This window comes from Homo sapiens, chromosome X, assembly GCF_000001405.40.
Source record: "Homo sapiens chromosome X, GRCh38.p14 Primary Assembly".
Lineage (NCBI taxonomy): Eukaryota > Metazoa > Chordata > Mammalia > Primates > Hominidae > Homo > Homo sapiens.
In genome coordinates this window covers 40201590-40212942 of record NC_000023.11, presented here as the reverse complement: position 1 = coordinate 40212942, position 11353 = coordinate 40201590, and the positions used below count along the sequence as shown (strand labels likewise).

Genomic DNA, 11353 nt, shown 5'->3' with positions numbered 1-11353 from the left:
TAGTCTAGTGCAGGCTGGGCACTGTGGGAGGCCGAGGTGGGACGATCACTTGATCTCAGGAGTTTGAGACCAGCCTGGGCAACATAATGAGACTCTGTCCAACAAAAAAAAATTTTTTTTTTTTGAGACAAAGTTTCACTCTTGTCACCCAGGCTGGAGTGCAATGGCGTGATCTTGGCTCACTGCAACCTCCACCTTCAGGGTTAAAGCGATTCACTTGTCTCAGCCTCCTGAGTAGCTGGGACTACAGGCACCCGCCACCCACGCCTGGCTAATTTTTGTATTTTTTACTAGAGACAGGGTTTCACCACGTTGGCCAGGCTGGTCCTAAACTCCTAACCTCAGGTGATCCACCCGCCTCAGCCTCCCAAGGTGCTGGGATTACAGGTGTGAGCCATCGCGTCCAGCCTCAAAAATTTTTAAAAATTAGCCCAGCATGGTGGCATATACCTGTGGTCCCAGCTACTCAGGAGGCTGAGACAGGAGGATCACTTAAGCCTGCAACTTTGAGGTTACAGTGAGCTGTGATGACAGCACTGCTCTCCAGCCTGGGTGACAGAGGGAGACCCTGTCTCAAAAAAAAAAAAAAAATTCTAAGGCGATGGTTCTTAAACTGTAAAGTGCATCAGAATCACCATGGGCTTGTTAAAACATAAATGTCTAGGCCACATTTCTAGAGGTTCTGATTCAGTAGGTCTGGGTTAGGGCCTGAGCATTCACCTGATACTCAAGGACCCAGGTTTCTTCTCTGTGGGTATTTGACCATTCTGTGCCACCTCAGAATTCAAGATGGCTGCCTGAGGCTGGATGCGGTGGCTCACGCCTGTAATCCCAGCACTTTGGGAGGCCAAGGTGGGCAGATCACCTGAGGTCAGGAGTTCAAGACCAGCCTGGCCAACGTGGTGAAACCCCGTCTCTACTGGGAAAAAAAAAAAAAAAAGAAAAAGAAAAAGTTAGCCAGACATGGTAGCACACCTGTAGTCCCAGCTACTCGGGAGGCTGAGGCACGAAAATGGCTTGAACCCGGGAGGTGGAGGTTGTGGTGAGCTGAGACCACACCATTGCACTCCAGCCTGGGTGACAGAGCAAGAATCTGTCTCAAAAAAATAAATAAATCCTCTCCCTCTCCCCCTCCCCCTCTCCCTCTCCCTCGTCTCCCTCTCCCTCTCCCCAGTCTCCCTCTGATGCCACCAAAGTTGTGAAAGCCAAGGCTGGACTGTACTGCTGCCATCTCCACTCACTGCAACCTCCCTGCCTGATTCTCCTGCCTCAGCCTGCAGAGTGCCTGGGATTGCAGGCGCACGCCGCCACACCTGACTGGTTTTTGCAGTTTTTGGTGGAGACGGGGTTTTGCCGTGTTGGCCGGGCTGGTCTCCAACTCCTGACTGCGAGTGATCTGCCTGCCTCGGCCTCCCGAGGTGCCAGGATTGCAGACGGAGTCTCGTTCACTCAGTGCTCAATGGTGCCCAGGCTGGAGTGCAGTGGCGTGATCTCGGCTGGCTACAACCTCCACCTCCCAGCCGCCTGCCTTGGCCTCCCAAAGTGCTGAGATTGCAGCCTCTGCCCGGCCGCCACCCCGTCTGGGAAGTGAGGAGCGTCTCTGCCTGGCCGCCCATCGTCTGGGATGTGAGGAGCCCCTCTGACCGGCCGCCCAGTCTGGGAAGTGAGGAGCACCTCTTCCCGGCTGCCATCCCGTCTAGGAAGTGAGGAGTGTCTCTGCCCGGCCGCCCATCGTCTGGGATGTGGGGAGCGCCTCTGCCCGGCGGCGACCCCGTCTGGGAACTGAGGAGTGTCTCTGCCCGACCGCCGCCCCATCTGGGAGGTGAGGAGCGCCTCTGCCTGGCCACCCCGTCTTGGAAGTAAGGAGCCCCTCTGCCCAGCCGCCACCCCGTCTGGGAGGTGTACCCAACAGCTCATTGAGAACAGGCCATGATGACGATGGCAGTTTTGTCGAATAGAAAAGGGGGAAATGTGGGGAAAAGAAAGAGAGATCAGATTGTTACTGTGTCTGTGTAGAAAGAAGTAGACATGGGAGACTCCATTTTGTTCTGTACTAAGAAAAATTCTTCTGCCTTGGGATGCTGTTAATCTATAACCTTACCCCCAACCCCGTGCTCTCTGAAACATGTGCTGTGTCCACTCAGGGTTAAATGGATTAAGGGCGGTGCAAGATGTGCTTTGTTAAACAGATGCTTGAAGGCAGCATGCTCGTTAAGAGTCATCACCACTCCCTAATCTCAAGTACCCAGGGACACAAACACTGCGGAAGGCCACAGGGTCCTCTGTCTAGGAAAACCAGAGACCCTTGTTCACATGTTTATCTGCTGACCTTCCCTCCACTATTGTCCTATGATCCTGCCAAATCCCCCTCTCCGAGAAACACCCAAGAATGATCAATAAATACTAAAAAAAATAAAAAATAATAATAAATAAATAAACAAACAAAATAAAACAAAAAAAGGATACTTCCCACTCCTCTGAAGTCGGATGCAAGACTTCCACTTACATTCTATTGGCCAGAATTTCATCACATGGCCACACCTAGCTTGCAAAGGAGGGTGGGAAATATAGGGGTTTTTTTTTTTTCTCTCTCTCTCTAGGAGGCCATGTGCCTGGCTAAAATTCTATTATAAATGTGGCGGGTAGGGAGGTAGTTATTTAGGGACAGCTAATGACCTCTGCCATGGGGGTCTTCCAGCTTGTTTGGAACAAGGAACAATTCATTCTCTATGTCAGTGTGTAACCAGGGCCTACCTACCCTTCTGAGTCAGAGGCATAGTCCACACAGCTTAATAAATAGGATTCAGAGCCTTGAAAAGCCTGGTGACTAAGTAATTACTGGCCCGGCCTAAATCACATGTATCCCTTACTAATGGTAGGCTGGAAAGATGAAGATGAAACTCAAAAGCCAGGCCTGGGCACTTTTGTGTTCCCTCTCACTGGTTTGGTTCATTGATTAGCCCATTAACTGGCAGAGGTCTAGGTTTCCTCTGGCTCCTGTCCCTCCTGAAATCCAGTAAGGACCAGACGTCCCCTCAAGAGGGGACGTCCTCTTGAGGAAATACCTGGAACTCTAGCAATGCACATAATTATACTTGTTCAATTTTAGAGAGGAGGTAGAATAAATAAACTTTTAACAATCTCCATAACTGTGCCAGACTACTGAGGTTTTCTCGCCCACCAGCCCTGGGCTTTAAGGTGGAGGATGGGCCTTCACAGACTCCGCTGCTGAAAGGAAAAGGAGGAGAACGTTGGACAGGCTTTTGTGGGAAGCAAAATGCTGCCAGGAGTTTAAGCCCAAATAGACATTTTCTTCAAATGCTTGACTCAGTGGTTTAATTTTTTTGTTTTTGTAGAGACGGAATCTTGCTCTGTCACCCAGGCTGGAGTGCTGGAATGCAGTGGCGTGATCTCGGTTCACTACAACCTCTGCCTCCTGAGTTTAAGCAATTATTTTGCCTCAGCCTCCCCAGTAGCTGGGACTACAGGTGCAAGCCACCATGCCCGGCTAATTTCTTTTGTATTTTAGTAGAGAGACAGGGTTTCACCATGTTGCCCAGGCTGGTCTCGAACTCCTGGGCTCAGGCAATCTGCCCGCCTCGGCCTCCCAAAGTGCTAGGATTACAGGCATGAGCCACCAAGCCCGGCCAGTTTAATTTTTAAATACAGCTGTAGTTGGTAGAACTGAGATGCAAAGAGAAATTGCCATTCCCTGATTAACCCTTCTAGCCACTGGGTGCCACTATTGATTTGTTTGGTTAACCAAAATGCAAAAATGCTTTACTATGGGGCGTTGGGTGGGTGGGGTTTGACAGCCTCAACATAGAGTACTTTGGGCCTGGCATGGTGGCTCACGCCTGTAATCCCAGCACTTTGGGAGGCCGAGGCAGGTGGATCACTTGAGGTCAGGAGTTCAAGACCAGCCTGATCAACATGAAGAAACCCCATCTCTACTAAAAATATAAAAATTAGCCAGGCATGGTGGCGGGTGCTTGTAATCCTAGCTACTCGGGAGGCTGAGGCAGGGGAATTGCTTGAACCCGCGAGGCGGAGGTTGTAGTGAGCCGAGATCACGCCACTGCACTCCAGCCTGGGCGACAGAGTGAGACTCTGTCTCAAAAAAAAAAAAAAAAAAAAATAGAGTACTTTGGTAAAGCAGGAAGTGAAAGTCCGACAAAAAAAAAAGTCTGTGTATATATATATATTCCCTTAGATGTATGTTGGTTATTGTTATTTCTCCTGACTTCCTCTCACCATCCTTGATCTTTCTCTCTTAATGAATTTCAGAGTAACCCTTTAAGTACTGCTTCAAAAAATTATAATCTTATGTTTCCTAGAGTCCTTGATAGCTCTCAAAAAAAGAGAAATATGCACAAACTCTATTGCTCCGTGATGTTTGCAATAATTTATATATCATGTCATCATCATCAATACAAATGTTTATAAAGTGCCTACTATGTGCCTGGGAAATATAAAAATAAACAGGCTTCGAGCCAGCAAGGGTTTTATATTTTCTCTGTTAGTGGAAACATGGCATATGATCAAAAATAAAAAGATGGCCAGGCGCGGTGGCTCATGCCTGTAATCCCAGCACTTTGGGAAGCCAAGGCAGGAGGATTGCCTGAGGTCAGGAGTTCGAGACCAGCCTGGCCAACATGGCGAAACTCCATCTCTACTAAAAATACAAAAATTAGCCGGGTGTGGTGGCACACACCTGTAATCCCAGCTACTAGGGAGGCTGAGGCAGGAGAATTGCTTGAACCCAGGAGGCAGAGGTTGCAATGAACTGAGATCACACCACTGCACTCCACCTTGGATGACAGAGCAAGACTCCGTCTCAAACAAATAAAAATAAATAAATGAAATAAAAATAAAAAGGTAAGTAGGTAGGTAGGTAGGCAGGTAACTAACTGTTGTCAAAACTATGGGTTGCCTATTTCATGGTCAATTCTCTTCTAGGCCTGTAACCCCACCCCCCTCCTTCTTCCCCAGTAGCTAAGGCCAAATTTTGTTCTGGGGTTCACCTTCCAATGTGGTCAGGGAAGGCGACCTCCTCTCGAGTCATAGCGGGGTGAATCATGCTTGGTCTAAGCCAACCACGGTGGCCTCATCTCCCTTACCAAAGATGGGTGGAGCATGGCCATGTGACCTAGTCCTAGACAATGGGACCTGAAATAAAATCCACTAATACAATACTCACAGAGAAGGCAATGCCAATCTCTTTCAATCTCTCTCATGCTGAACATATGGTGCCTGGAACTGCTTCAGTTGTGTTTAGACCATGAAGAGTCACCTCCAATTAGCCAAGGCTAGCAGAGCAGAGATGGAAAGCCCCTTAATTGCTAGAAGCCCCTGGAAACCATCCTGCCTCAGGAATTCTTTTCTGAGATAATAGTCTCCTTTTGGCTGGGCACAGTAGCTCATGCCTGTAATCCCAGCACTTTGGGAGGCTGAGGAGGGTGTCTTGAGTCCAGGAGTTCAAGACCAGCCTGGGCAACATTGTGAAACTCCACCTCTACTAAAACCTTTTTTAAAAATTAGTCAGGTGTGGCGGTGTGAGTAGTCCCAACTACTCAGGAAGCTGAGGTGGGAGAACAACCAGAGCCCCTGGGCTCCTGAGGTGGAGGTTACAGTGAGCCATGATTGCACCACTGCACTCTAGCCTGGGCGACAGAGATCCTGAATCAAAAACAAAACAAAATAAGTCTCCTTTTCTTTTTTTCTTTTTTTTTTTGAGACGGAGTCTCATTCTGTTGCCCAGGCTGGAGTGCAGTGGCGGCAGTCTCGGCTCACTGCAACCTCCACCTCCCGGGTTCAAGCAATTCTCCTGCCTCAGCCTCCCGAGCAGCCAGGACTACAAGCAGGCACCACCATGCCCTGCTAATTTTTGTATTTTAAGTAGAGATGGGGTTTCACTATATTGTCCAGGCTGGTCTCGAACTCCTGACCTTGTGATCCACCCACCTCAGCCTCCCAAACTGCTGGGGTTACAGGTGTGAGCCACTGTGCCCGGCCAAAGTCTCATTTTCTTTTTCTTTTTTTCTTTCTTTTTTTCTCCAGACGGCGTCTCACTCTGTCGCCCTGGTTGGAATGCAGTGGCGTGATCTCAGCTCACTGCAACCTCTGCCTCCCGGGTTCAAGTGATTCTCCTGCCTCAGCCTCCCGAGTAGCTGGGACTACAGGCGCCCACCACCATGCCCGGCTAATTTTTTGTATTTTTAGTAGAGACAGGGTTTCACCGTGTTAGCCAGGATGGTCTCCATCTCCTGACCTCATGATCCACCCACCTCGGCCTCCCAGAGTGCTGGGATTACAGGCATGAGCCACCGTGCCCAGCCAAGTCTCCTTTTCTTTAAGCCACTTACTTTGAGTTCGATCTGCTATGCCTTGCAGCTGAAGGCAGCCCATCTGATGCCCTTGCTGAACGTATTAATTGCTTTAGAGATGTTAGCCAATGGCATGATCTCAGCTCACTGCAATCTCCGCCTCCTGGATTCAAGCGATTCTCCTGTCTCAGCCTCCTGAGTAGCTAGGATTACAGGTACACACCACCACGCCGGGCTAATTTTTGTATTTTTAGTAGAGACTCCTGGCCTCAAATGATCTGCCTGCCTCTGCCTCCCAAAGTGCTGGGATTACAGGCATGAGCCACCGCGCCTGGCCGAGGAAGGCATTCTTAAGCCCATTTGAGGGATGAAGCAATGGAGCCTCAGAGGTCAATACAATACTTGACCATCCAAGGTCACAGTGGTGGAGCCATATTTTAAACACAATCAGTGCACCACAAATATGTGATGGGAGAATGGCCACCTAAGCACGGGGTGCGGCTGAGTTGCTGAAGGGCACAGCCCATCTTGGGGCCCAGAAACACAATCCTGTGTGAGGCACACCCTGTCCCAATCCTCAGAAAATCCCTTCGATGCCCAGCCTAAGCATCTTCAAATGCATCCCCAACAACGTTTTGTGTGTGTTTCACGGAAAATCCTCTAATCAAAATCCAGATTGAAGACTACCCTTCCAGCCAGGAAGTCCTTCCTAAGCTCTAACCTCAGCTTCCCCTCTTGGAGTGCGGTTTGGTCGCTGACCCCAGCACAGGACAGCTCTTCCCTCTTGCTCCTTTTTAGCAGGAGGAGGAAACAGTTCTCTTGCACTCAGCACTCTGCCCTCCAGGCAGAGCCTCACCTATGAAAAGCAATCTCATCCGAGACAAAGGCTGCCCGGCGCGGCTCCGCGTGGCCGTCTGCGCTGAGAGGCAGGGAGCTCCGTTTCAGGCGTCCTTCACGCTCCCCAGCCAAATAGAAAGCACACGCAGCAAAGTTGTGTTCGGCGTCCATTGCATTATGGCACTGACTGTTCAGCAGGCACATTTCTCTCTGGCTGGCGACGCAGCTTGGAACCCGGGACTCGCTCGGCGCCGCCAGGCAGTCGATCCCCGCCAGCTTCCCGAGGGCGGTGTTCTAGGTGAGGAAAATTGCTCCCGAGATTGCTTAAGGCCCCTGGGGAAATGACAAGGAGAAATTAATCTTCCATTGCTAATCTCCCCACGTGGCTGTTGTCTGCAGGAGGTGGTCGCCAGACTCCTGCGGGGGGTACCTAGATCCCTTCACACTGCCTCTGGTACAAACAAAATACTCACAGGTAGGTGTTGAATGAGGGAAACCAGCCCCTCAGTTTTAGGATGCACAGAGCACGTGTGGAGACGAAGAACGAACACGTAACTTCCATCATCATCACCATAGCTAGTTTAATTAATCTGCACCAATGGCCCCAAGGACTCGATATGATTATTCTCTCCATTTTACAGAGGAGAAAAATGAGACATAAAAAGGTTAAGTAACTTGTTCAATCCAGGCTGATTTGTTTGCAAATATATGCTCATAGTCCCAAAGCAATAATGCCTCTCTAAGGCCAGGCTCTCTTGGATGGCTTCGGTGTGGCTCCCCAACTAAACTGTATGCCATTTTAGGGCAGGACAGGTCATCTCTTTCCTTGGTATTTCCCCAAGCTCAGAGTCATCTGGGTTTTCAGTAAGCACCAGTTAACAACTGTACACAACTCAGTCTAAGAAAGCCGGAAGCCTACTTTTCATGGGCTTGCATTCTAAGCCAAAATAAGACAGAAAGTAAAGAAGAAATATTACTCACAGGGGAATCAGGGTATAGCCCCCAAAATATGGATAGATCATTTTCATTTTCCTTCAGGGCTTGCTCTCTTTGTAAATCTAAGTGAAAAAGAAGGAAATTGAGGCTGGAAAGTGAGTGAAGCAGGCCTTAGTCCAAAGACTTGCTAGTGGTCTGAAGCTGCCTGCATTCCTCACACTTGAAGTTCCAGAAGGCAGGAGGCGGACTGCAGCTTCTCCAGCCCTGCCAGTCACCCAGAGGCAGCGTCTCCAGGGGGCTTGTGCATCCTGCTAGCGAAATAGAATTCTTTTTTTTTTGAGACGGAGTCTCACTCTGTCGCCCAGGAGGGAGTGCAGTGGCGCTATCTAGGCTCACTGCAAGCTCCACCTTCCGGGTTCACGCCATTCTCCTGCCTCAGCATCCCGAGTAGCTGGGACTACAGGCGCCCGCCACCAGGCCTGGCTAATTTTTTGTATTTTTAGTAGAGACGAGGTTTCACCGTGTTAGCCAGGATGGTCTTGATCTCCTGACCTCGTGATCTGCCCACCTCGGCCTCCCAAAGTGCTGGGATTACAGGCGTGAGCCACTGTCCCCGGCTGCGAAATGGAATTCTGAGAGGGGAAAGAGGAGAACTGGGACTCTGCAGCCGAGGGGAGGCTGTGCTGTTCCAACATTTGCTGGCCTGTTACAGAGAAGCCTGACTCACTGGCTCGGTGACTAGGAAATCTACGAACAGCTTCCACTAACTCTGGCACCCTGAGCAACTGTATCAGTTAAGAATGCATGGCCCAGGCCGGGTGTGGTGGCACACACCTGTAATCCCAGCTACTCGGGAGGCTGAGGCAGGGGAACTGCTTGAACCCGGGAGGCAGAGGTTGCATGGTGCCATTGCACTCCAGCCTGGGCAACAAGAGCAAAACTCCATCTCAAAAAAAAAAAAAGAATGTGTGGCCAGGCGCGGTGGCTCATGCCCGTAATCCCAACACTTTGGGAGGCCGAGGTGGGCAGGTTGCTTGAGCTCTGGAGTTCAAGACCAGCCTGGGCAACATAGTGAAACCCCATCTCTACCAAAAATACAAAAAATTAGCCAGGCATGATGGCGTATACCTGTGGTCCCCGCTATTCAGGAGGCTGAGGTGGGAGGATGGCTTGAGCCCACGTGGAAGAGGTTGCAGTGAGCCGAGATCACACCACTGCACTCCAGTCTGGATGACAGAGTGAGACCTCCCATCTCAAAAAAACAAACAAACAAAAAAACAAAGAATGTGTTAGGGTGCAAGGAACCGAGAACTCTGTGAACAGCATTCTGAACATGCATCAGAGTTATTTTTCTTACAAAAGAAGTCCAAAATGAGATTCAACAGATGTGAGTTCAGTGACTTAAAACATCAAGATCAGCATTTCTGTGATTATTTTGGCCTCTCCTTTAGGCCCCAAGATGGCTGCTGTAGCTCTTGCACAGTGTGGTGTTATGATATATATTGGTTTTCATCCGCAGATCCTGGCTTATAACTCCATCGCCCTTGCTCCAGTCTTTTGTTATAACGTTGGGTGTACTGGGCCTCAGGGGCAGGGTTCTGCCCTTCTGGCTTCCTTCCATCCTAATCTTTTCCTACCTTTCTGATTGTGGGTCTTAAGACTCTGCCATGACAGAGTGCCCCCCTATACCCTGGGGGAAGGGATGCTGATGTCATGAAGCTTTCATAAAAACCCATGAGGACAGGGTCCAGCGAGCTTCCAGATAGCTGCACACATGGAGGTTCCTGGAGGGTGGCTCGCCTAGGGGAGGCATGGAAGCTCCACGTATCTTCTCCCATATCTCGCCTGCGTGTCTCTTCATCTGTATCCTTTGCAATATCCTTTCTAATAAACCGGTAAACATAAGTGTTTCTCTGAGTTCTGTGAGCCGCTCCAGCAAATTAATCAAACCCAAAGAGGGGGTCATGGGAACTTTAACTTGAAGCCAGTCAGTCAGAAGTTTCAGAGGCCTGGGTTTGCAACAGGTGTGTGTGGGGTGGGGGGGCAGTCTTGGGGACTGAGCCCTCAACCTGTGGGATCTGACATTATCCGCGGGTAGACAGTGTCAAAACTGAATTCAAGGACACCTAGCTGGTGCCCGCTGCTTGGTGTGTGGGGAAGCCCCTCCCACATTTGGTCACAGAAGTCTTCTGTGTTGACAGTTGTTGTGGTGTGAGAGTAGAGGAAGAACATGGTTAGAGACAGTTTCCTCAACACAACACGGTCAAGGCAGGAAGGGGGACGAAGAGATGGGGCAGCAGCACCAAAAATATCTGTCTTTTTTTTTTTTTTTTTGAGATGGAGTTTCACTCTTGTTGCCCAGGCTGGAGTGCAATGGCATGATCTCAGCTCATTGCAACCTCCGCCTCCCGGGTTCAAGCAGTTCCCTGCCTCAGCCTCCCCAGTAGCTGGGATTACAGGTGCTTGCCACCATGCCTGGCTAATTTTTGTATTTTTAATAGAGATGGGGTTTCACCATCTTTGCCAGGCTGGTCTTGAACTCCTGACCTCGTGATCCACCCGCCACAGCCTCCCAAAGTGCTGGGACTACAGGCGTGAGCCACCACGCCTGGCCGCCTCTTTTCTGCCCATAGGATCACTTGAGGTCAGGAGTTCAAGACCAGCCTGGCCAACATGGCAAAACCCTGTCTCTACTAAAAATACAAAAATTAGGTGGGTATGGTGGCACATTCCTGTAATTCCAGCTACTCAAGAGGCTGAGGCAGGAGAATTGCTTGAACCAGGACCCAGGAGGCGGAGGTTGCAGTGAACCAAGATGGTGCCATTGCACTTCAGCCTGGGTGACAGAGCAAGACTCCGTCTCGGACAAAAAAAAAAGAACTCTGCAAATTTTCCCTGTCCTCAAGATGGGCACAGACATGGCTTTAAGGCTGGAACACCAAGAGGCCTCTGGGTAGCAGTGCAGAAACCCTAGTGGGTTGAATGAACTGAACCGGCTGAATGAACTAAACCAGAGACCATAACAGATCTAAAAAGGTCAGTGGTAAGAATGCACTGAGAAGAGAGGTTGTAGCAGATTGTATTCTGAAAGTGGCCTTGCCACTGTATATGACCTCACATCCTCCTCCAGAACCTTGCCACTCCCTCCTCAAGAGGTGGGGCTTATTTCTCTCACCCCTTGAAACTGGGCAGGCCTTTGTGACTGCCTTGACAAACAAATGTGACAAAAGTGACACCACATGATTTCTGAGGAC

General features: G+C 49.9%; 2 annotated features.

Annotated features, from left to right (window-relative positions):
* Positions 1344-1895: an enhancer, noted in NCBI's record as "H3K27ac hESC enhancer chrX:40070301-40070852 (GRCh37/hg19 assembly coordinates)". NCBI's record gives its function as "activates a minimal SCP1, AML or CMV promoter by ChIP-STARR-seq in primed H9 embryonic stem cells {active_cell/tissue: H9 hESC(primed)}" and the evidence as "EXISTENCE:reporter gene assay evidence [ECO:0000049][PMID:30033119]".
* Positions 10218-10267: a silencer, noted in NCBI's record as "silent region_20762". NCBI's record gives its function as "represses an Ori minimal core promoter by ATAC-STARR-seq in GM12878 lymphoblastoid cells {active_cell/tissue: GM12878}" and the evidence as "EXISTENCE:reporter gene assay evidence [ECO:0000049][PMID:35858748]".